The sequence below is a fragment of the Homo sapiens genome, chromosome 3, assembly GCF_000001405.40.
Source record: "Homo sapiens chromosome 3, GRCh38.p14 Primary Assembly".
In the NCBI taxonomy this organism is placed as follows: Eukaryota; Metazoa; Chordata; class Mammalia; order Primates; family Hominidae; genus Homo; species Homo sapiens.
In genome coordinates, this window is record NC_000003.12 from 59,878,981 (window position 1) to 59,906,219 (window position 27,239).

Here is a 27,239-nt window from a genome sequence, read left to right on the forward strand (position 1 = left end):
GCTTGGTGTGTTAATCAAACTGTCAGCAAAGGAAAAAAAAAAGAAGAAGAAGAAAGGGCACATTCTATCCAAATGAAGAAAAATCTGAGCTTTCTACAACAAACACATTTTCCAGTGGATGAGCTTCTCACACAGTAATTATTTCACTTCTCCCAGAGATTACTGATTACATCACACAGAAAAACTAAATGAGGGCTGTTTTATCTTTCTCATCTCTCTGTGGTTCTTGTGCAAACTTATACTTGTTATCATGAAAAATGACAAATTTGCCATCTGATCAAAATGTTAACAAGGTAACTGTCAGTGAGATGGATCTCTGACTGTCACTGCAAGCCAGAACATGAGGATACATTGATATTTCTCAATACAGCCCCTGCTTCCCCAACGTTCACTAACTACATTTCCACAGTAAGGTAATAAATCACTCAGAAATAACGAGCTATATAGGATCTCTGGGGTATGATAGATGTGTCCTAACAGCACTATCTGCAAGATAGAAAACAATTGATAATGATCTAAAGAAAACCCTAATCAACTGCCATTTTCCATAATGGGGTAGATGAAGCAAAGATATGAAATCTTAACTATGTGATGCATGTTATGACAAAACCGGACTGCTCCAAAAAAAACCCACACAGCCCCAAACAAAACACAAATGACCTAACATTACGTAGGGTCGAATAAATGAAAAATAAAGTTAATAACACAGTCTGGATACAAACATTATATTGGACACTGGCAATGATGGGATAATCACAGCAATTGCTGGGTCCACAAACAGCTAAATAGTGGAGGGTTCCTCATATAACATGAATGAAGACTCTGGCTCAGTTATTGGTTTAATGAACTCTCCTCCAATACTTTTATGTTCTTTAAGACTCTTTGGGCCACATTATTTCTGAGCCTTTAATTCAATGGTTTAACCAATCATTTCCCCCACCCCCCCCCCCCCGCCCCTTAGCAACGTGGCCAAGTGCCACATCCAAAGGAACCAAGAGAGAAGAGGAGAAGTCCATATGGAAATAGGAGGTAATCAAAGACAGAACACAAGATAGAAAACTTCTGCAAGAAGATCATGGCTTCAGATCACAGGGACAAAGAAGCATGGCATCAAACTGCCAAGAAGCTGCCTCATAACGACATCCCTTTAGGTTTTAAGGTTAAGAAGTCTCACATAGCCACAGTTGGTCTCCTGCCTGTCCCCTCTGCTCGTTTGTCTTTGGCCATTCCTGCTTCTGCTGTTTGTAGAATACTCCAAGCGCCTTCCCTCCCCAAGACCTTGTGCCTGCTCTTCTCTCTCTCTCAGGGATCTCTCTCCTCCCTGGCTCCTTCCCTTCATCCAGCTTAAATCTTCCCCAAGGAACCTGCCTTGCCCTTCGGTTTCAAAGTAGCCTCTACTACCACCCCTTTGGTCTCTATCAGCTTCATCGATAGCAGAAAGAACCATGTCTGTCTGGACCACTGTAATTTCCAGGCTTCTAGCACTTTCTCTTCTCTAGTAGGGATTAAGCACAGTCCCAATCCTGGGCTCTGGGATACAGGACTGACTAGCCTTGAATCTAGTGCCACAACTAAGTACCTGTGTCCCACTGTGCAAGCACTCAATTTCTATGTGCCTCAGGTCCCTCATTTGTAAAACAGAGAGAATAGCAATGCCTATAAATGACAGCGTTTTGAAGACTAAATCACTTTATCAATGTAAAGAGCCTGAGATAGTATCAGGCATACAGGAATCCATCAATCAGCTGCTGTTTTTATAAGAGCAAGAACAGAGGTAATTCAGACATAAAGTGAATTAATTCATGATTATAGACGTTAGATCAATGAGTCACCTTCATCATTCCAGGTTTTTATTTTACCATTAGCCAAAACAGTATTGTGCTCCTTCTAATTCCATATTCTCAGACTACATGGAATGAATGGGTATTGGTCTTTAAGCCTCTTTGAGCAATGCCAATAAATACAGTCACTTCCAATTTGAGGGCACTTGGAATAGCAGTGCTATTGTTCCTTTGACATCTCAACAGCACTTGAAAGTGAAAGAAAAAAAAATAGATTAATGGATGTATTCCCTAAAGCAACAAACATGTTTGATGTATAAACATATGTTATGGGCAATGACGCTGTACCTTTGGTGCCACGTCTCAACAATTCTCTTTTCATCTATCCCCTAATCATGCAACTGAATGCTTCCAGTAGGCCACACAGTAGGGACAAAATGATAGTAAGACCACCTGGCTATAGATACCTGCTTCTAGAGAGGCCAGGTTCCAACCCATTACAAGCTGATAACCATATGTATGATTTTTGCTACACTGGCCAAGTATTTGGATCTTTTTTAAACATATTTGATTATTTACCCTTTGATTAGAATTTGTGAATAAAAATGTCTTTTAAGAGACACAAAGGAAGGGGGTACGGGCAATAGCTCATTACTAAAAATCATTTTAGTGTGGAAAGTGGGCTTCACTATTCCTATAAGGCAGTCATTTTCAAACTTCAGAGCATCACAAGCCCCCTGTTAGATTCTAATAGAACCCTGAGGAAAATGCACATACACATAAATGTTCACATATAATTTCTACAGGTTGAAGGACCTCCCAAAACAAAACAAATCTATCAACCACAAACTCCAGTGTAAAAAACTGGCTCTATGAAGACTTCAAATCACCCTCACTTCCTTTGCATATAACCATTTTTTTCTTCAGACAAATAAAAAATACAATTAAGTTTAATACAAGAAGAGGCTAAAAACATTAGGATAGAATATTAGAGTTTAAAGATCTTTGCCTGGTTATGGTCTAAAGATATTTGCTTTGATTAATATATGGTGTAACTCATTAATTAAATGCAAATTGAAATAAGATAAACCTGTCCCCATATCATTTCTGGTAGACAATAATGTGCCAGTTTTCTCTCCAATAAATTAGATGAGGCAAGCTTTCTGTTACTAAATAATAGCAATATGGGACAGGAGAAAAAAATTTACCATGAGGTGCTTTGGAATTATTCACATGAAGAACTTTTTATTTCTTACTTTCTTTTTCACTAAAATAGTACTTTTTCTCATTTTCAACCAATTTTTAAATATGAGGTGTTTACATTGCTTACTGTTCAAATTAGCATTGCATACTTTCAGGCACAGACATGCTCAAAATAGGAGTCTTTTGAAATGCCTGCATTCAGTATAAAACACACTGCTGGTAGGAAATGCAAAATGTAAAAGTCTTAAAATACATTTAGATATGGAAAACAAAACATTTAAAACATATTCACACTTTAACATGTTTGGAAGTATAAAGTTAATATCGTTTATGAAACAAATTTCAGGAATCATACTATTGAAACACCCTCACATCTTCAATTAGCTGGATTAAGGAAAAAAAATATTAACAATATTTAAATGCAGAAAACAGATTATCAGGAAGAGAGATCGTTATAGCACCTTGTTTTCACTAACAAGCAGAGCAGACTGTAATTGAGTTTTAGAAATCCCTGAGGTGGTAACTCGGTAGAGAAATCCAGACTTGGCAAGGAAATCAAGTTTCCCTTTAATTACATTATCTCAATCAAAGAGATAACTTTCACATCCCTACAAAGCAAATGTTTTAAGGAGAAGTCTGGCAAGGAAAGTAGGTGGAGGTACAGAGGGGTTAAGAGTTTCAAATAACTTCATATTGGTAGGAGGAACATGTAGAAAACTGAAGTACACTGTGAGGAAGAAGACAGATGCCCTGGCAAATGGTGCTGCTCCCAAAAACATATGACACCTAACACCTTGGTCCATTGGTCCTGCTTTCCTATATCAGCCTTGGTTTTGCCTTTGTCACTGAAGAAACATGGCATGTTCCTTAGTGTTGAACACATAAGCCTAAAGCTGATCTACAGTTTCTTAAGCTGATAAAAGGCAAAGCTAAAATGACTTTGGCCATGACTATGCTGTTCGGAGGAGGAAAATGAGAATGTTCAGTGGAAATTATTTTCTTGGCAGTGTCCTTACTAGGTCAGCAAACCTCCATTCTTTCCAAATTTTCCGGGTCTCCTGCTTATTTCAGGACCCATATAAGGAGGATATAAGCAGTGATGTGTGAGAGCTGGTTTGTACCAGATCACAAGAGCTGTTTGTATAATTTTCAGAAATTTTGTAAGCTGGTAGCTTAAAAAGCCATTAAAAATTAAATTGTGTAATTTGAAAGTAATAAATATTAAAAACAAAGGGAAGAAAATATTAAAAACTCTGTAATTCCTCATAATGTCACTACATTTTACTATTGTCTATGCTCTTAGGTTATATACATCTGTATTAGTCTGTTTTCATGCTGCTGATAAAGACACACCTGAGACTGGGTACTTTAAAAAGAAAAAGAGATTTAATGGACTTACAGTTCCATGTGGCTGTGGAGGCCTCACAATCATGGTAGAAGGTGAAAGGCATGTTTTATGTGGTGGCAGGCAAGAGAGAATGAGAACGAAGTGCAAGGGTTTTCCCCTTATAAAACCATCAGATTTCAGGAGACTTATTCACTACGACGAGAATGGTATGGGGGAAACTGCCCCCATGATTCAATTATCTCTTACAGGGTCCGTCTCACAACACATGAGAATCATGGGAGCTACTATTCAACATGAGATTTGGGTGGGGACACAGCCAAACCATATCAACGTCTATTGTATCTTGTGGTGGAAATACTCTCAGTAGTGTGCTACCGCACGTCTCTTTCCAAGTCTGTGCAGTGACATCAGGTTTGTAGCTTCAATTCAGCCATATGAACTGGAAACTGGAAACACTACAGATTAACTGTTTTCTTGGCTATCTAGATTTAAGAAAGTGATGGGGGAAAATAATGATTATGGAGACAAAGCTTAAAAGCATATTGTGTCAATAGCTGTTACATGGTGAATAGTACAAAAAATTAAGAAAATACCCTTTAGTGTTCTATATCTATTATCTGATTTGGCAAAAATGTCACTCATATGATTGACAAATGAGTAAAGTTTTGACATATATTCTTAGGCTTCACTTTTGTCTTGTTTATGTAAACAAAAATGTCAACCAATATTCATGTCTGAAGCACACCTGTTTTGTCAGTGACATGAGCAACTTTGCTTAATTGGGTAGTAACCAAGCATTTATTCCTTATCTGAATTTTCAAATCATGGCTGAATCACAATCATAAGTTGACTGTGATTACAGGAATTCAACAAACATTAACAAAAGCATTCTGTGAGAATCAAATTGGCTATATAGAATCTATGATAAAGATTGGTGTATATTTTATGATTACTCACAAATTGTGTGGTGCACATTTTATATCAGTAAAATTTATAATAAGCAGTCAGATGTATGAGGGTATGTGGATATATGTTTTTATATATACACACATACATACACACACATGCATACACAAAAACCAGTTGTTAATATTTACCAGCACACCACTGGATATCAACACAATAAAGATATACTTTATTGTGTATCTCAGCAAAAACTGACCACTCAACTTTTCTAGGGACAACTTTATTATGGTTGGAAACTAGAGGCTAAGACATTTATTGTGTCATTGTTGAAGTTCCGTAAAACCATTTCCTATCTCTAAAGTTATTTATTTGGCTATAATGCCAAGCTACACCAGCTACTTCCCCAAAAGCAAGGCTACCAGATGGTGACAGATTTGAAAGCTCTTTCTCATATTTTGAGGGTAGGTAGGGGAGTCACGCTATGGGACAGTAGGAAAATCCACTTTTAGCAGGCAGGATAGAATGGGAGAAGTCAACACCTTGTCAGTTGCCAATGAGCTGCTGAGAAGTAGTTACAGGGTATATAGCAGGATAGTATTAAACTGAAAGGTCATTAATGTGAGATCCTTGGGACAATATGCACTCTGTATGTCTCAATAATGTTAAAAGATTCTGTACAATATTTGATTGTATCCAAATAGTTTATAACTGTAACATTTAATTTCAAGGACAAAAATGAACTTAAGTCAACTATTCCTGTGGTTTTACATTTCAGAGAGCAGTAAGAAAAATTCACCAAAACAAAATAAAGCAAAACAAAAATGGAGTGCCAAAACAGATTTGCTAATTTTTAAAAATGTGTTCAAATAAAGATATTTTCAAATCCTTCCTTTTATTATCACCCTTATGGCGCAAAAGAAAGCTCATCAGTTTGCTATTAGGATCATTTGGTAGCACACAAAGTCCATTTTCTATATATGTTCAGAAGAGGAAACAGGATGAGCATTGGGCTCAGCCACTGGAGATCACAGCTTCATCATGGTTCAACCTCATCTTCAGACACTGAAAATATTGCTGAAGAAACAGGAAGCAGCATTGAGCACGGGGGGCTGCCATGTGTCCTCTCCACTGAAGATAGTCTGAAGGATACAGTGACCGCAGGAACAAAAATGCCCTCAGAAACAGCCCTAAAGGGCTTCTAGAAAGTACATGCTACCTGATGCTTTTTTTTTTTTTTTTTAACGATTGATGTCTCTGATTTGATTTGGTCCAAGCTATTCTGAGAATTCATGATGGAATGAGAACATCAGCAACTGCAGCCTATTGGATTTCGGTTTAGTAGAGTACAGTGCTCTGTTTGATCATCCACTTTTCAAGAGCCAGCTTCACATCCTAACTGCATCATCCTTGCAAAGCTCTGCTACTTTGAATGCTGCTTTTTTTCAGTCCCTGAAATACATGTGCCTGGGGTGTCACCAACAGGTGGGTTTTTTCCTCTGACTTCTTTCCATGTAAGCCTCAAGGCATGTATAAAGGACATGAGCGCTGCTTTCATTTTCCAAAAGAAATCAGCTTTATACTGGGAATTGCAAGCACGTGCCAGGTTTCCCATAGTGACTTATATGAACTCGCACATACTCAGGGTGAGTAAAACTAGCAGGCAGGCAGGCCTCAACCAAGAGCACATTTGCTAGTTTTTCTTGAAATGTTCAGAACTCTGGCCCTAAGAGAAGCTAATGCCAGGCAATCCCTTGCAAGGATAGGAGGGTTATGGGATCAAGGCAAAAGACACATTTGGGGAACACCATTCCATTGGGCAAGCTCTGATATGCAGAATCTAAGGCAGCTTTCTGGACCTCTGAATATCATAGCATCGCAGTGGCTTCCTGTGGCTCTGTGGTTACAGAACAATTTCTACCAAATGAAGAGAATGACAGAAGCAAGGACCTCCACATTCCTATCATATGTGACAGTCTGGAAAAAGGCAGTGTTCATTCTTACCTCTCCTAACTTCACTCGCTCATTCCCAGGTGAGCCTGAGGCCACATTTCACCTGAGCATCCCAGCTCCTACAGTCAGAGGAAAGAACAAACTTCACTCCCACTGAATTAGGACCAACTATTTACTAGACACTGTGCAGGTATTATGTTACTGTCTCAGTCTGTTTAGTTGTCACCATAAAGAAATACCTGAGGCTGGGTAATTCAAGAAGAGAAGAAGGTTTATCTGGCTTATAGTTCTGCAGGCTGTACGAGAAGCCTGGTATTGGCCTTGGCTTCTGGTGAGGGCCTCTGGCTGCTTCCACTCATGGCAAGGGTGAAGGGGGGCTGTGTGTGCAGAGATCACATGGGGAGCGAGGAAGCAAGAGAGAAGGGAAGAGGCACCACACTCTTTTTAACAACCAGCTTTCATGGGAACTAACAGAGTAGGGAGTAACTCACCAACAGAGAGGTCATTAATCTATTCATGATGGATCTACCCTCATCACCCAAACACTTCCCATGAGGCCCCACTTCCAATATTGGGGATGAAATTTCAACATGAGGTTAGGAGGGCACAAACATCCAAACCACAGCAATTACTAGTCAATTATTTCCGCAGTCCAGTGAGACAGTTTTCTGATACTTGTTTACAGGACAAGAAATTAAGTCTTTTTTGTCTATTAGACATTCATTTATTGAGAACCAACTATTTGTCAGAAATGGTGCTGCAGGGCTACCAGAGAACCAGACAAATGTGGCCCCTGACCTCATGGAATTTGCATTCCTGTGGCACTCAAAGAAGTGAGTACCTAAGCAGTCAGTAAATAACTTTGGCTGGCTGGTTGGCTAAGTGTGTATGGAGCAGGGAGGCTTGGAAGGGGGAAAGTAACAACATGGAAAGAAAAGCAATTGTGCAGGGATTCCTAGATAATAAGCCAAAGACCCAGAATTTGAACTTCAGCCTAATTCACTTTTGACTTTATCAAGTGACATAGCCTCGCAGATCCCCCATCTCTTCCTATCTCATATTAAAAACGAACCAGAGCAAGAACAGTAGCAGTGGAATCTTTCCCATGGCCCATCTCTGTTCGCTGGAGTCTGAGCACCATCTTTGGGCCAAAAGCCTGGGGAAGAACAGGATCTAAATTCCACATTTGTGGTGAGGACTAGAAAGTTTCAGAACATTGCCCTTTTAAACTCATCTTTATTAATATTCTTTAAGCGCACAGGTAATGAGAAAGTGCAAATACAGCCCCCTCTGGCTGCAGCAGTCAGAGAGCCAAGAAAAAACTGCATGTCATGCCATCCTATTATAATAACAGATTAAAAGGGCACAAACAGGGTACTAATTAGCAGTCATAAAAACTTGAAGCTCCAGATTGCTCATCTTCATATCTGGGCAGTAAAAGTACCACGTGTGCAGATAACATAGAAGTAAAATACCAGGGTGCAATTGCCCAGAGCTCAGCCAGCATCAGCTGAGAGAAGCAGTTGCATCCAGCAGCACATCCTACACTTTCTCAAGAATCCAAAGGCATTCAGGTGACTGCCCAAGAATTAAAAATCAGCCAGCCCAGAGAGAGGCAAGTGCCTCCTAACTCAGCAAGGGACAGCGGGAGACCTTGCCAACTTCTGATTGATCGTCTTCAATTCCCTTTCTCCAAGATGTATTCCTGTCCATGGTCTCTCCCTGGATTTTATGCAGAAAGCTACTTCTGAGAAATGAGAGGGTTTTATTAGCATGCAGGGGCCAAAGTTTAGCCTGAAGGAGAGATACCTTCATCAATAAAATCTTTTTTGATTAAATTCAGTCTTTTTTCTTGGGTCTGCTCAGAGCTTGGAAAATAAGACGGGTGTACTTTCTAACTTTTATCCCCAATTTGTTCCCTGAGGATTTCAAGGATTCTGTTGCCATCGGGGCACTCTGAAAGAAGAAAGGAAGGAGTATGCTTTCTTTAACAAGTTGTCTCTTAACAAATTCATACCCAATAATTCAGGCTTGGACATTCACTGTACTCACCTAGCTTGGCCAAGTGGCTCTGTATTCTATGTTAACTGTGATCTATAATTTTAAAAGTAGTCATGCATAGCTTATATAGAGAACCATCTTTTAAAAAATACTCTAAATTTTGTTCTAATAAGGAGAAAAGTGTATCTACATTGCATGTGATACTGAAACTAGACAAATTCCTTGTAGCCTTTTATCTGACAACAGCTAAAAGGCCCAAATTGAAGGCAAAGCAATGATGCAAGTGAACTATACAATAAGCACAATTGTATTCATTTTATTTCCAACATTATAATAAGGACCATATATTATTCACTGGTATATATTCTCTTCACTGTACAGTGAAATATATGGGAAAAAATCAAGACCCTTCTCTTTTAAACATTAGCTCTATATCAGAAAGGAAATGGTCTATATTTATTGATTTTCTTTGAGGGATCTAGGTAAATATCACAGGGCTATGACTGGGTCCTAGTCTCCATACCACCAGTGATATGGCTTGTCCAACATGACCTTTAGAAAGACTCAGAGTTTGGCTTTGTGTTTCTCATCTGTCTTAGTCTGCTTTTGCTGCTTTAACAGAATACCTGAGACTGGAAGATTTATAATAAACAGAAATTTATTTGGCTCATGGTTCTGGAGGCTGGGAAGTCCCAGATCAAGGGGCAAGCTGCATCCAGTGAGGGCCTTCTTGCTATGTCATAACATGGTGAAAGGCATCACATAGCCAGAAGAGAGGGTGAGAAGGGCTGAGCTAGTGTTTACAAGAAACCTACTCCCATGATAACAACATCAATTCATTCATGACAGCAGGGCCCTCATAACCTAATCACCTCTTCAAGTTCCCATCTGTCAATACTGTTGTTCTGGGGATTACGTTTCTAACACATAAACTTTGGAAACACATTCAAACCAGAGCACCATCCTATTCTCAGTAATACCCTTTGTCTTAATTTTTCCCTACTAACCTGGGATGATATTCAAAGATATTCAACAATGCTTGGGCACTGACCAATAAAAATGGGACTAGACACCAGGCATCAAGAGGCAGTCCAGCCTTTCTAATTCATACTGTCTGACATCCATCCAGTCCCAATTGTTTCAAAGGTTCTGGTGATAATAGGGGCCACCTCTCCCAAATTTGCCTTCTTAACTGGATTCCTAAAAGGACAAGTCATGAATCTCTAATCATAATTCTAGCACACGTACCACAGGCCATTAGGAAAACTATCCTCAGATAAATGAAGCCTCCCCATACCCTCAAATTACATCATGAAGGTGAGACCCTTAGCATGGTCTCTGACTCACTAGGCAACCATGGCCAAGTGATTTGCATTCTTGAGAAAAACTTACCCTCCTTATAACAGAGAGGAGGATCCCTCAAAGAGATCCTGAAAGCTCAAGTAGGAGAAGACACTACAACGTGGTTGGAATGCTTCAAAAGATAATACTTTCTAATCCTAAGACATAATTGCTAATAAATGGTTTCTTTTTTACGTAAGGTCAAAGAATTTTTAATAAATACAGTCTTTGGTGCTCATTAAGAAGACACTAATTCTTCATGGGTTCATAAGCACACACATAAGAAAAATCTGCAGCAACAGTACAGTAATAAATGTAAAATCCTAATGAGAGAACATACATTGGCTGGAAAAGGGTATTGTTCTTTTCTTCCTTCTTTTCTTTTGCGAATGATATTGTAATGAATTTTCTTCAGAGGACTTATTAGTGTCTGTTTAATATTATCTCTCTCTTTCATGTGAAAACTTTCCTTAGAATCTTAGGCAAAGCTTTAGGCCTTCAATGAAGACGTCATTAAAAAATAATATCTAAGCAGTGCTCAAAATATCACATTACAACAAGTTAACAGCACTGTCATAGGATATAGAGATGGGATGATATTAACTATCAGAGATTCCAGCCTGATCTATCAGTAATTTCATTATTTCCAAGTACGAAATTAACTTCTTTGAGAGGATAAAGCCTGCAGGGCTCTGGAGGCCTCTTTTGATCTAAGCAGATTATTGCCCTGTGGGGACTCCATGGTGGGAATTAGATCTGCGTTCTTGGTGGTGTCCATAGCTGGTTCTCCATTTTCTACATTCCTCATGTTAGAATGGCCATAAATACGGACTGAGCATCAATCTGGGACTCTTTTTCAGATTGCCTAGAGGGCCAAACACTGGAAAAGAAAAGGGCTGCCCGTGAAACTTCTGGTTCCTGCCTTACTGAGGGCTTCAAGGAAAGGCTGGGTTTAGGGTTCCTGAACACTCTGTGCTGCCTCGGTTCATTTCCTGTTGGGGAAGTTCTGAAGTTCATCTGTTACATTCCCAATGCTTATGTTAATTCATATGCAAAATGGGAACCCGCTTAACTATTGCCTTTTATTACTCTGAAATCAGCCAAACCAGCTTATGCATCTTAGCAGTCTTAAATCAGCGTTTCCCAAGTATGATCTTTGAAACACTATTACCAAAAAGCTGCTCAAAAGAGAGAGAGAAATTATAATAAAAATATCATAGTTCAAAGTACTTTGGAAATGCTGCTTATTATCTCTCTTCCGTTAGTTTCACGTACAATGCTAAGGTCAAAGAAGTTCTTCAATAAAGAACAGTATTTAATTTTGCTTAGCTGAGCATTTTTCAATGTTACTTGCCATAGAATTTCCTTCATTTCTCCCCCCCAACACTGGCTCTCATAATCTGTTATCATTCTGAAGAACAAAGAGCACACACTTTGAGAAGAGATGGCCCTAAGTTAATCAGCACACTGCATTAGGTGGCTGCTATCAATTTTGATTTAATTACACAAGCATGCACTCAGCATTTATGCAACGTAAGGTCAGAATAAGGGTTATGTACTCCTCAAGGGTAGGTTCCCAAATTGGTGGGATATGTTCCAGCCCCTCCAAGGACTTACACACTTTCCTAAGACCTGAAAAGCTATGGTTTAAAAATAGTTGATCAATCCTTCCAGTTGTCCAGCTGGGGTCAGTTGCCAACTCTGGCGGGCAAAATATCAGGAACCAAGGACACAAAATATGAGGAAGGCGTGGCCTCTTCCCTCAAGGAGGCTACCATGGACAACTAACCACAAACCAGGAAAAGCATGATATGGAAAAGGGAGTGGTTTATTCTGCATGAAGGGAAAAGGAAGATTGGTAAAGACACAGGCTGCTAAGCGGGGCTCCAGTGAGAAGAATTCCCATTGCTGGGTAGAAGAGGACAGATGGGTAAGCAACCTGAGAAGGACTGAGGCTGCAAATGTGCAGGGCATGGCCGTTCTAAGCCAGTCATCCCCCCGACATCACAGATGAACCAACAGGACAAAAATTTAAGAGTTCCATGATAGAGGAGGCAAACCTTAGCCAATTTCTTCACACCAGGAAGCCACTGTGCCTATATTCTGAACCTTGCTGACGGTAGGTCTGGAGTGGGCCTTTGTGTCTCCCAGCAGCAGGCATACATAGGAGTCATCTCTTCGATGGGCATTCACATAGGGCTAGGTGTGCCCTTGCTTTATAAAACATATGGGTTCTTAAAAATTGGATATTCCTGGATGTCTTGTAAGTAAAATCATTTTACATGACCATGAGGAGTGATCCATTTAAAGGATCCTTGCAGGGAAGACTCTGGGGAACAAGGAATCCACATGCACTCTGAGATTTCTGTTTAGATTTTTCCTGAAGAGCTGCCTCTTAGGGGACTTCTGAATTTAAAGAGACGTTAGAAAGCAGACATGATGAAACTGCGTTGTCTCCAAACTAAAAACAAAAAGATGAAAGTAAACTTAAAAGCTACAGATGCCATTCGACAATGATTTGATGTAAAATAATAGTCCATCTATAACTCAATTTAGCCAAGTCCATACCTTCTGAGATCCTTGACTTACCTAAAGGCTCTGTCTAAATAGTGACCCTATATCATACAAGTTGAACAACAACAAAAGGAGAAACTAGCAGATTTTTACATCATCGGGAGGGACATAGCTGGTCAAACAGGCAGTAAAGTTTGAGCACAACAAAGCGAGCTTTGAACCTCCTAAGCAAACTGACAAATTGCGCTCAGGAGTCCAGTTCCCAGCATCAGCACCACTTTGCCACAATGGCTTGTCTCCTATCTCTCCTGCCTAATGGCTTTCCATGCCAAGGAGGGCAGTCAGTGTGATGAAAATAACCATCAACAAAGCATTTGGTGATTAGTCGTCTGCTTTTTTAAATATAATGCCTGCCAGCCAAGATTGATAAATTATTTTGGTCATTAACAATCTATTTAACAACTGTAAATTTAAAGTGATCACTTTCCTGAGGCTTAGTGTTATAGAGGTTAGGGGGTAGAATCTATTTAGCCAGAGTTAAGAGCTGGAAAATTAAGCCAGAACACGAGAAACAAGATTACAAAGTAGTATTCCTCAGTGAGTGCTGTGAAGCTATATGGAATCAGGCTATTACCAATGGTGGGGGATATGTTTAATCACCTCTTAAAGGAAAAACAATCTTAATTAATGTTGTATGTCATAAAAATATAATTTAGATGGGGATGGGAAATTGCTAAAGACGAAACCCAGAGCAAAGTGAAGACTTGGTTCAAAATGAACCACCCACCCATCAATTATAAAAATATTGCCCAACAGCAAATCAAAGAACATGCTCTTTGGTCATATTTGGGCAGCCTGAAAACACTGATCCTTGAAAAGCGTTTTCATACTTTATACAAAAAAGATAGGAAATATTTAAACTTACTTTAAATTAGAATTTTAAGTGCCATATTTAAAAAGCTGAATTACTCATAGACACAGTCAAAGTTAACACACTATATTTTAAAACTATATCTAAAAAACTCATAAATATGTAGTCAGTTGTGTTGGTCAGTGAACAATATTATTATCTTTATGCTGCAACATTTGGACCGAACATTTCACCTGACTAAAGTTTGGCATTGGTCCACTTGTTTTATTTGATGCTTATAGGACATCCAAAGGGAAACATAGCAAATTGTTTCTGTAGCCTATTCATTAGTAGCACAGAGAACCAATCCCAGCTTCAAGGTGTCAACTGGTGTTGCATCCCAGGCCCCATCTACCAGTAGTTCAATAAGGAGCAAGATGGCAGGAATAAGAGGGAAATGCATCTCCCTTCAGCTTTCAGGTTTTAGACTACTGTACATGGCTCTTTCCAAACAAGAAGAAAAGAATATAACATGAACTGATTGGTGCAGTAAACTAAACTGGATTTATATGCTCTAATATGGAAAAAAGATCCCTAGAACTGATCCTCAAAAGCATCTCCCATTAATGGAGAAATAGGAGAATGTCCCCAAGGGTGAAAGTCTGGGACCAGCAATATGGCAACATTATAAGTGCGCTGAACAGCATTTTTGTAGGAAGTGTGTTCTAACTGCCTTTGTAAAAGGAAAAAGGAAAATAAAACAAAGCAGCTGGACAATACCATTTCCACTGATTAAAGTTCAGGGGAGCCTGAAAAGTTACTTATGAGATATAGTTCAACCATTTTCCCCCTTGCTTTCAGATTTACGTGATATTAACTCCTATGCGTCCACAGCAGCCCCATGATCCGCCTCAGAGGAATTCAGTGCCTAATACTTGACTAGGAAGAAACATTAGGTATTGATGGGCAAAGAGTTTTCATCTCAAATGCCTCTCTGATCAACTAGCAGTAGCTCTTGTTGAGGAGTCCGAGGCCATATTTAAACTCAGTGGAAAACAGCAGCATGGGAAATTAGCAGTTTGGCATAGAGATTAAGAACATGGATTCCAGCAGGGAGCAGTGGCTCATGCCTGTAAAATACCAGCACTTTGGGCGGCCAAGGCAGGCAGATCACTTTAGACCAGCCTGGGCAACATGGCGAAACCCTGCCTCTACAAAAAATAGCCTGGTGTGGTGGTGCACGCCTGTAGTCCTAATTATTTGGGAGGCTGTGGTAAGAGGATCACCTCAGCCCAGTAACGTCAAGGCTGCAGTGAGCCATGATCATACCACTGTACTCCAGCCTGGGCAACAAAGTGAGACCCTTTCTCAAAAAACAAACAAACAAAATGATCATAGATTCTAAATACATATGGATGTTTGAATCCTGGCCCTATTCCTTACCAGCATAACAACATAACCTTATGAGGTTATTATGAACATTAAATAAATTAAGGCAACTTTCACAATGTCTAGCACATAATTTACACTTCATAAACATTAGCATCATAACCAGGAGGACTAATTGCCATTGTTGCTAATTGGCATTGCAGAGTAGAGTTGTGGCTTGTCTTTTGCCCATCAGGCTATCTGTGTTTCAGAATCTGCTCCTCAACTCAAGTGTAAAACTTACAAGCAGTGGTGGAGTGGGACAAGTCAAATCTACACAGTTCTTTATATGATTGAATCAGTGAACTGGATAGACTCTACCACCAAGATGTGATGTGTTGCGATGGTGGTTCTGTAGTATGTTTGGACCGTGAAAGATCAAAAAGTCTTTCAATGATTCATATTTTCAGGGCATTGCAAAGTGATCAATTTGGTACATTCTTGACTTAAAACAATCACTTGGACTTCTCCAAACTTCCCAGACTGCTAATAACATGCAATCCTACTTCTAACCAAAGTGAATAAAGCATCAAAAGGAAACCTTGGTTTCATCCCAAGTGCTACCAGCTGCTTTCACATATTGAAAGTTTGGCTCTACCACTAACAGGAAAGGAAACACTTTCAAACCTGGCAGGTGATGAGAACAGACTTCAGAACTTGGCTACACTGTCATCAGACATCAGGGGCTGGAATTAGGGCAGGGGTTCTCAACTGGTGACAATTTTGTCCCACAGGGGACATTTGACAATGTCTGGAGACATTTTTGGTTGTCACAACTGGGTGGGAGGTGTTTCTGGCATCTAGTGGGTAGAAGCCTGAATGCTACAAAACATCTCACTATGCATACTCTCACTCCCCAAACTCTGAATCTTCGGGTACAAAATGTCAGTAGTGCCAAGACTGAGAAATCCTGGATTAGCACGGAACACAGAGCAGTGTGGACTCATTGCTAAATGTTTTCCTCACTATACTGGAGGCTCCAGGTAAGTAGGAATCATTGTATCTTCAGTGCCTAGCACAGTTCCCAGTACTTAGCAGGGGCTATATTAATTTTTGTGGAGTGAATGCACTATAATAGCAGATATTAATGCAGGTCAGCTACCATTTTTCTTCACAGCAGAGCAAATATTTCTTCAATATTAAAGTCAGAAAGCAAGGTGAACAGAGAAGACATATCAGAACATGACTTTGCTTATTTGGGCATCTAGCACATCAGACACTTCCAATAAATCTGTCCCACTTCCTTCATTCCCTATCTTCCCTAGAGAAGTAACTGATGCCACATCCAGAACCTAACAATAAGTTACGTCAACTTGACCAGCACCAACATATTTCTAGAATCCACTTGCTTCTCTCCTTCCATGAAGCCTAAGCCACCATCATCAACATCTCTAATGAGTCACTTTGCTTTTGCTCTTGACCTCTAACTTCCATTCTCCACAGAGCAATAACCATATGTCCTGTTAAAGGCGTTAATCAGATTACATCCCTCTTGTGTTTAAAACTTGCTAACATCCTCACGGGGGCTTAAAACATCTTACAAAGTCTGGCACCTGCTCAACTCTGCACTACAATCATAGCGGTCATCTTCCTATTTAACCAAATTGTCCAATTCCTTTGCTTCTCAGAGCCTCTGCACTGGCCTGGGAATGCTCTTCATCTAGATCCTTACATGGCTGGCACTTTCACATAATTCAGGAAGTGGTTTAAAGTCAACTCGTCAGAGAAATTTTTTGACTGCACAGAATCTTCACCTGTGTAGTCAGACAAGTTTTCTTGTCTTTAGATTATGAGGCACAATCTGAGAGCTTTATTTGCTCATTTACGCTTGTACACTGGCATCCCTCCCAGACTGGAGTGTCAGCTTCATGAAAACAGAGAACCTGACTGTTTTGTTCTCTGCTGTGTCCCAAGCAAGCACAGTGCCTGGCACAATGTAAGAAGTCAATACACATCTGTTGAATGAATAGATAACTGAGGAATAAATCGATGAAATAAACAGTTCATATACATGAACTAGTCAGAGAAAAAAGAACTCATCTAAAAGAAAATATGTGTTAACTGTCACTTACAAAAGAGTTGCCTAGAATTTTCAAATTAAACTCCAAATAGCATCCTTTATTTAACTGCGATCAATTCAACATAAGACTGAAAATCAGAATAATAGAGGGTAGTTAGTGTTCATCTAGCACCAAGAGTAACTCAGAAATTAAATTAACAGTTTGTTAGTATAAATCTCCCTCGTTCTCTTTATGAGTACTAAATTAAAGTTCATCCTATATTTTTAAATCTGTTACAAGCAAAGAGACAATGAAATAATGAAAGTATAATGAAATAATTTTACTAATTCTTAATACATAACCATAGCAATGATTTTGTAAGTTTCCAAATATGGTTCAGCAGTGTGGACCAGCATGGCATGAAAATAAATTTAAGTGTGTTTTCCTTTTATAATTTTTATTACTGTGAAAGAAAATAATTAAGGTATTTAATATTCACAAGCAGTATCAGAGGCAAGAATACGAGTATGACATTACTGACGAAATCTGGAACATAACGCAAGTGTAATGTTGCTTTTTTTGGACCACGTGATATATCTGAATGCAACAAGGAAAGAAGCCAGAAACATGTTAGCAACGATTGGGAGGGTGAGTTGATGGTAGCATGTAGAGTCAAGCAAAGTCAGAGGCTGTGACAAACCATGCTGAATTAGCACATGCAGTTCCTCTTGGTCTGCCTCCCACCCACCTTTCCAACTGCAGTTCTTATCACTCCAACAACATCCCCAAAACTTGCAGGGTTCTAAAGTTTATATAGTCTTGGGGTATCTGTGTCCTTATTTACACCACAGCTGAGTCTAAAAGAACTTTCTGCAATGATGGAAATGATCTAATTCTGCACTGTCTATTGCTTCTGTATCGAGAAACTGAATTTTGCAAAGCATTTAATGTTAATTAACTTAAATTTAGCCACAGGCTGCCAAATTGCACAGCACAGCTCTAGACACCCTCCCTATAGTCTGCAAACTCCTGCTCGTCCTTCAAGACCCAATTCAAATGTCTCTTCCTCCAGAATCCCCTTCCTCTTCCTGTTCCCTAAATAGCAGGTTTCATGGCTTTAATGATAACCATTTATCACATTCTATTACAATCATTTTATGGTATGTTGGTCCTTCCAACTACATCAAGAATCTCTCAAGGGGACAGACTCTGCCTGACTCATCTCTAAATACTCAGTTCCGTGCTTGGCACATGAGAATTATTTGATAAATACTTGTTGGATGCTCAAGTGAAATAATGAAGCCATCTTTAGACATGAACAAATATAAGCACAGCTTACCAGAAAAGTTCTTCCCAGGGGAAGGTTTACTCCATTTATATAAGAAGCTGCAAACCAGATATAGCTTGAGCATCCCTAATCTGAAAATCTGAAATGCTCCAAATGCTCCAAAATCTGAAACTTTTTTTTTCTTTTTTTTTTTTGAGAGGGAATCTCACCCTGTTGCCCAGGCTGGAGTGCAGTGGCGCGATCTCGGCTCACTGCAAGCTCCGCCTCCCGGGTTCACGCCATTCTCCTGCCTCAGCCTCCCGAGTAGCTGGGACTACAGGCACCCGCCACCACGCCTGGCTAATTTTTTGTATTTTTTAGTAGAGACGGGGTTTCGCCGTGTTAGCCAGGATGGTCTCGATCTCCTGAACTTGTGATCTGCCCGCCTTGGCCTCCCAAAGTGCTGGGATTACAGGCATCAGCCACGGTGCCCAGCCCAAAATCTGAAACTTTTTGAGCACCGACATGATGCCACAACTGGAAAATTCCACATGTAGTGTTATGATGGGTCACAGTAAAAATGCAGTTAAAACTCTGTTTCATGGACAAAGTTATTTAAAATATTACATACAATTATCTTCAGGCTATTTGTACGAGGTCCATATAAGACATAAACAAATTTTGTGTTTAGACTTGGGTCCCATTCCCAAGATATCTCACTATGTATACGCAAATATTTCCCAATCCAAAAAAAATCTGACAACTGAACCACTTCTAGGCCCAAGCATTTCAGATAAGGGGCAGTCAATATGTATGACCTTCAGATTTGATAGTATTTCACCATATTTGTATATATGTGTGCGTGTGTATGTTTGTGTGTGTGTGTGTGTGTGTGTGTGTGTGTGTATTTGGTAGACACTGCTTACCAATGTTAAAAACAGATTTCCAACATTTCTTGAAACAAATATTAGATCTGGCAATTTTAGTCCCATATTTGGGCTTGGCAACAATGAACTAGAATGTAACAAGCAGCTGCATCATTTAGATAATAAATATCCTCTACAGAATCTTTTTTTTTCTTCTTTTTTTGGTACTTTTAGTCCACTGTTGTCATTTATGGTCTCTGTCTTTCTCCTGCAGCCATGTGACCTTACAACACCAGACAATGAATGAAGAGACAGAAATTTCAAGTTCAGACATTGATTTCTCACCGACATTAGTAAAATAACAACAGTGACAATAATAGCTGCAAAAACAACAATAATAATGGCTGGTAGTATTTATTGAACATGACATGCCAGGTATTATACTAGGCAATTAATAGACATTGTCAGATAGAATCCTCCTCCATGACCTAGAAAACAGCCTTAGCTTCATTTTATCAATGAGGATAGTGAGATGCTAAGGGGCAAGCTGAAAACAAACAGAAAGGTCTTCCCCTAGTCTGCCCACCATCAGAGTCCTCACTGCCATCTCTTCATTACAAGGCGACATCCCTCTTCACTCCTCCATGTTCCTCCCAGCCTGGATTTAGACCCAGAGCACAAGACAAAGTGGGACCTTGGGCAACTGACATAACCTTTCTGCATTTTGCTCCTCCACTCACAATGGACTTCAGAAATAAGAGCTGACATTACCTCCAGGGTCACATGCGGGCACATGAGATGATGTAGGTCAAACACTGAACTTCTCAGACACTTTTCACAAATGGAAAATGATCTCATCTGAGCAGGCAGAGAATGGCTGGACAAAGGCTGACACATCTGGAGTAGGGAGGCATGGAAAGGACTGAACTCTCTTAAGGTAAATAATGGCCTTGTGGCTTTTGCTAGCACCCACCCTCAAGGAGCCCTCATCTAGGGAGAGCATGTCTTTGTGGAACTAATACAAATTTGGCTCCATGAGGCTTGCCTAGCTTCGTGCCAGTTAGGTGATATTGAAAGGATGCAAGTCAATGGAAGGTTTAAGAATCAGCTATTGTAGGCCAGGCGCAGTGGCTCACACCTATAATCCTAGCAGTTTGGGAGGCCGAGGCGGACGGATTGCCTGAGCTCAGGAGTTCGAGACCAGCCTGGGCAATATGGCGAAACCCCGTCTGTACTAAAATACAAAAAAACAAAAAAAAAATTAGCTGGGTATGGCAGCATACGCCTGTAGTCCCAGCTACTCAGGAGGCTGAGGCAGGAGAACTGCTTGAACCCGGGAGGCGGAGGTTGCAGTGAGCCATGATGGTGCCACTGCACTCCAGCCTGGGTGAGAAAGCAAGTCTCCTTCTCAAAAAACAAAAACAAAAAAAAGAATCAGCTATTGCAGGCCTAGCACTCTGCCAGGCCAGGAGTTGGCAAACGTTTTCTATAAAGGTCCAGATACTAAATATTTTAGGCTTTGCCGGCCATAGGTAAACAAATGAGTATGGCCATGTTCCAGTAAAACTTTACTTACAAAACTAGGCCAGGGCCCACAGGTATCGTTTGCCCACAACCCCTGTGCTAGGCACCATGGAGGCAGAGCAGAGGCTCTTCACAGTCATCCGGCACAATCACCAGGGGCAAAGCATGAAGCAGCCTGTTGGATTCCCCACTCTGGTAGCCACAGTCCTCTGAGGTAAAGGCCTGGACAGCAAGAATGACTTAAGCAACAGACTTTCTTGGTGGCTCCAGCCCCAGACTCACCCCACAGGGCATGAGGAGAGTGAGCCTCTCTTTCCCATGAATGGTTCCTCCCAGCAGTTGTGCAGGCCTGTCCGCAGAACAGGTGAGGCTACATGGCCTTCAACCACGTGATGTATTGGCTCCTCTGACTAAATCAAAGTCCACAGATGATAGGCCTACAATATCCAAGAAGTTGCCAAACAAAGATGCTTAAATTGATACAGACAAAACTAAATACCTCTCCTTCCCTTGTGCCTGCTTTGACTCCCCTAGATGCCATCCCTGGTGCCACTTCACACTGAGCTATCTCCTTGCACTTGAATCCCCCATGTCTCATTACCATGTGTATATCCCAAGACGGGGTGGCTCCTGTTGTAGGCCACATATGTTTGGTTGTTGTTTGTTTTTTTTGAGATGGAGTTTCACTCTGTTGCCCAGGCTGGAGTGCAGTGGTGCGATCTCAGCTCACTGCAAGCTCCGCCTCCCAGGTTGAAGCAATTCTCCTACGTCAGCCTCCTGAGTAACTGTGATTACAGGCACCCACCACCATGCTTGGCTACTTTTTGTATTTTTGGTATAGACGGGGTTTCACCATGTTGGCCAAGCTGGTCTCGAACTCCTGACCTCAAAGGACCCACCTGCCTCAGCCTCCCAAAGTTCTGGGATTACAGACGTGAGCCACTGCGCCCGGCCAGGCCACACTGTTTAAAATCTATGCAGTCCTTCTTTGATATGATAACCTTGGGGTTGTTTATATTTCTTCCAAGTGTATGACCAACAGGATGCAGAGAAGCAAAAGTTTTCTTACTGTTTTGTCTGTTAACGTAACCTCCCATTGTCTTTATGCTTTTGTTTCTGTTCTCATTTAATCCTGTTTTCCTTCACAGGATTAAGTCTGCTCATTTCTAAACTATTGTCTGAACTTTAATATTCTAACATGTCTTAGTGTCATGTTTACTCTTCACTGTTTGACTTTCTGAGTGAAATAGTGAAGAATATGAGAGTGGAAAAGGTATTTGGAAAGATTCTAGGTTTTAAAATTTCAGCTTTAGTTGATCCTTCCTACCTGTGGGACCTTGGGTAAATGAGTGAATAATCTGAACTTGAATTGCTTCACCTGCAAGACAAAGGTAAGTATGCCAATCTCGGGAGAGGTATCATGAGGATTACGAGTTAAACATGGAAAATTCCTCTTCCAACTCAATAATAAAAACACAAAAAATCCAACTTATATGGGCACAGAATCTGAATAGACATTCCTCCAAAGAAGCTATACAAATGACCAAGGGGCATGTGGGAAGATGCTCAATATTAGCTATCAGGGATGCCTCACCCAAACAAAAGGACAATGAGATACCACTTCATGCTTATTGCTTATTCGGATGACTATAATAAAAAGTTACAAAATAACAAGTACTAGTGAAGGTATGAAGAAACTAGAATCTTCTTACACTATTGGTAAGAATGTAAAATGGCAACGCTGCTTTGAAAATGGTCTGGAAGTACCTTCAAAAATTAAACATAGGGTTACCTTATGACCCAGAAATTCTATTCCTAGTTATATACCCTAGAGAAATGAAAACATATATCCACACAAACACTTGTAATATTAACAGCAGCATTCACAGAACGATTATTCATAAGAAGCAAAAAGTAGAAACAACTCAACTGTCTATCAAATGATGAACAGATAAGTAAAATATGGCCTAGCCATACAATGGAATATTATTTAGCAATAAAAAGAAGTTTGTGAAGAGCAAAGAAAACAAGCAACATAGTGAAGAGACAATTTACAAAATGGGAGAGCATATTTGGAAACCATATATCAGACAGGGGATTAAATTCCAAAATACATAAGAAACCCATTCAACTCAATAGTACCCTCCCCTGTAAAATAACCCAATTAAAAAATGAGCAACGGACCCGCATGGATATTTTTCCGAAGGGGACATACAAATAGCCAACAGGTTTATAAAAAATGTGAAATATCACTAATCTTCAGGGAAATGGAAATAAAAACCACAGTGAGGTATCATCTCACACGTGTTAGGATGGCCATTATCAAAAAGTCAAAAGATAACAAGTATTGCTGAGGGTGTGTAGAAAAGGGAACCCTTCTTGGTAGAAATGTAAACTTGTACAGCCATTATGGAAAAGAGTACAGAGTTTCCTCAAAAATTAAAAATAGAATACCATATGATCTAGTAATCCCACTCCTGGATATAGAACCAAAGGAACTGAAATCCCCCATCCAAAAGAGATATCTCCACTCACATGTTCATCGTAGCATTATTCAAAACCACCAAGACATGGCATCAACCTAAGTATCCACTGACAGATAAATACAGACATGCGATGTATATATCAATAATGGAATACGATTTACTCTTTAAAAAGAAGGAAAGAAAATCCTGCCATTCGCAAAAACATGATAAAACTAGAAGACATTATGCCAAGTGGAATAAGCCAGACACAGAAAGAAAACTACTGCATGATCTTACTTAGATGTGTAACCTAAAATATTCAAACTGTTAGAAACAGAGCATGGAATAGTAGTTACCAAGGGCCAGGCATGGGGGAAATGGGAATAATCTGGTCAAGGGTACAAACTTTCAGTTATAAGATAAGTAAGTGCTGGCACTCTAATGTCTGGCATGGTGACTAAGGCTAATGATAATATATTGTATACTTGAAATTTGCTGAGAGAGTAGATCTTTACTGCTCTCACCATGCACACACACAAAAGGTAACTACGTGAGGTAAAGGATATGTTAATTAGCTTGGTTGTGGTAACCATATCACAATGTATACGTATGTTAAATCATCACACAGTATATCTTAAATATATATAATTTTTGTGAATCATACCTTAATCAAGCTGTAAAAAAAGAAATGAAGTGCGGATACATGCCAAAAGATGGGTGACCCTTGAAAACTTTATGGTAAATGGAAAAGACAGTGGCACACACCACCACATAATGTATGATGCCATTTATATGAAATGTCCATAACAGGCAAATAGAGACAGAAAGTAGATTAGTAGTTTCCAGGGTTATGGAAGGGGAGGAATGGGGAGTGACAGCTAATAGGCACAGGGTTTCTTTTGGGGGTGATGAAATTATTCTGGAATTAGATTGTAGTGACAGTTACACAACTCTGAATATACCTGAAATCACTGAATTGTACATTTTAAATGGGTGAACTGTATGGTATTTTAATTGTATCTAAATAAAGCTGTTACTATATGGAAAGTTCTTAGCTTCATGTCTGAGACAAAGGAAGAAATAAAAATGGTCACTACGGTTATCATTCATTCACCTGCATTTTAAAAATGCAGTCGGTTTTTCTAGAGACTTTTCACCCCTGTTATTCTGAGAATTAAAATACTCAAACATATGTGTGGTGAGGTCTAGAAGAGGAGGATTATTGTAGCCTGGAGTAGTTAGAAAAGCCCTCGAGAAGTTTAAACAGAATAAAGGAGGAGGCAAAGGAGAAATCACCAAAGGCAGCAATCTGAAAGTGAAAAGGTGGGAATAATTTGGTTCCCTGTGAGAGCCATAAGGAGGCAATTCGATTAAGCAAATGGCTCATGAATGCAAGGGATAAGTTGAAGAGAAGGCAAAGTTAGATTTCCAAGGGTCTTGGAAGCATAGGCCAAGATGTTTGGGCTTCCTCCAGCTTTGGAATGTCAGGAACTGAATTTAAGGAAAGCCATCCTGCCAGTTTATGTGGTACAAAAGGGACTGGCTGAAATCAGAACCCAGGAAGTATGAGTTAGTTAGGGCCTGAAGAAAGATAATAAGAATGGAAATAGGAAAGAAATAGCACAAAATAGTGGCTACTTCTTTTTTTTTCTCCCCCACACCCCCCCGCCCCCGGACAGCCAGTTGTTCTAAAGGGGCTATTTCTTTATGATAAAGGTGACAGAATACAGAAGAAAAAAAATCTCCCTTCCTCCTTCATCAACACCTAACAAAAGGAACAATAATAACCATAAAATCATGGTTAAAAAAAAAAAAGGGAAATTTACCAGTAAGCTCTAAATAAGGAATTAAGCACAAACTTGTGCCATAAAATTCAAAAGAGGAAACTAATTAAAAAAAAAAAAAGGAAGGCAGGAAGGAGCGAGGGAAGGTGAAAAAGCAAATAGGAGATGATTTTCATGCAATTTGAAGTTGCATCAAAATCTTCCACCTCAACTGTCAGAAACAGATTGGAGAAAGTATTTGAGTTGACAAAATTATGGGATTTCCCTTCAATATTCCCCACAATCAGGAGACAAGTAGACTGAAGTCATGATTTTGATGTAGGATTTTTCTTCTCAGTCACTTTGCAAGCTGGGAACCCCTGGCCAGTGATGCCCGTACCAGGCCTTGCTTGGCCATGCTGGTGTGCTCCAGCTTCTTGTGTTATAGCTTGTACCCGTGTTTGGTGGTTCCCTGAGCTCTTGTACCATGCCCAAGAAGAATGAGGATACACTGGACATTGAAGGGTGAGGAGGGCAGGGAAGAATTTTACTGAGTGACGAAAACAGTTTTTAGCGAAGAGGGGATATGGATTTGGTCTCCCTACCTGAAGGTGAGAAAGTTCCCCTGTGTGGCTGGGCCTGGGGCCTTTTCCAGACTTAGAATGGGAAGTGCCTGCTGATTTGTTTGTGAGTCTGCAAATAAGTCTAAAGCAAAGACACCACTCAAAGGTGGGCACAACAGTGTAGAAAACCAATTAGGAAAGCGCAGGTATATGTAAAACAGGTGAAGGGTGGGGACCAATCAGAGGAGAGCTTACCAAACAGAAAGGGAAATTCTCAATCCAGTCTGAGGATTTAACTTGTAGCTTGGCTTTCAGGCTTTAAACTCTCTTCCACTTGAGGTGGGGTTTCACTGGGGACCCACCCCTATCTGCCTAGGCATTTGCCTGCCTCCTGTTGCTATCAATTTGGAAACCTTGGTGAAGCCCCAGAAAACCCTGGGGAGTACAATCCCAGAACTTCAGCCCAGCCAAGAATAGCAATAATTATGACAGGGGCTTGGCAGGAAAAAAGAATTGATAGAACTAGAGAATGACAGCATACAGAGGACGAACTTCAAGAATAAACTGGAGATGACCCAAAGTTTCTAGCCTGGATTTTTCAGAATGGGGGTGATACCAGTAAGACCAGGGGTCAGAATAGGGGAACATTTTATGGTAGAAGGGCATGCACTCTGTTATCAGATAAATTAAGTTTGAGCAACTCATCCCTTGAATTCGTATGTCTGTATAAACCTAACCTAGTGCCTCTCACGTAGTAAGCCTTTTATAGGTGTGTGCAGGAGGGATGAGGCATATAAAATTTAATTAAATATGAACAAATGATGGTAACAATAAACTCAGATTTTAAAAAATGGTTTTGTTTCAACCACTGTGGAGTCAATAGACTCTATGAGACTTAAAAATTTTTTAATTTTAAGCTGTCTCTTAGATATTATAAAGCCACAGTGAGTCATCTTGCACTTAAAATCCAGAAAAGCCTATAAAAGAATAGAAAACCCGAATACGTAACTTCCTCCTGTGACAGAAGAACAAAAACGTCAACGTTCACAGCTTAAAGACATTTAGCACCTCAAAAAGATGTATCATAGGTAAGTTTCTATACTTGAATGATATTATATAATCATAATGCATTGGAAATTAAGTCAATTTACAAAAAAAACCCCTCAGAAATGCAAATAACAGTGCTTTGTAAAACTGTATGGCCTGTTTTCTGGAAGGTACTGTGTGATTCTGGGACTGGACTTTTCATTAAAAAGATAAGAGATTCAGGCATCAGACATGTTCAATTATTGGCTCCCTAATGAAGTTCACTATCCTGTCTAATGGATCTTTCCTTTTCAAAAGACCCCTTCCTCCTTGTGTATTCTGGCATTGCGTGTCTCTGGCATTTGCTCTATGAGAATAACTGGACAGTACAATGCTCTTGAATACAGAGAGCTGGAGCTTGAATGGACACCATAGCCCCAAGG

General features: G+C 39.9%; 1 protein-coding gene and 1 long non-coding RNA gene across 11 annotated transcripts in view; one reads left to right on the plus strand and one right to left on the minus strand.

Moving 5' to 3' along the window:
- FHIT (fragile histidine triad diadenosine triphosphatase) overlaps window positions 1–27,239 on the minus strand; it is a 1,504,176-nt gene that overhangs the window by 131,704 nt on the left and 1,345,233 nt on the right. Inside the window, exon 6 of one of the 8 annotated variants that reach the window (NR_135491.2) lies at window positions 7,240–7,307. The exons of the other annotated variants lie outside the window; for them this stretch is intronic. The gene's annotated coding sequence lies outside the window, so the exon portion shown is untranslated. The remainder of the gene's footprint in view (window positions 1–7,239; window positions 7,308–27,239) is intronic. 8 annotated transcript variants of the gene reach the window in all.
- LOC105377113 (uncharacterized) overlaps window positions 1–27,239 on the plus strand; it is a 70,563-nt gene that overhangs the window by 27,947 nt on the left and 15,377 nt on the right. For all 3 annotated transcript variants that reach the window (XR_007095936.1, XR_940887.4, XR_007095937.1), the window contains exon 3: window positions 1–27,239. This exon is cut by the window's right edge and continues 15,377 nt beyond it. This is a non-coding gene — a long non-coding RNA (uncharacterized LOC105377113).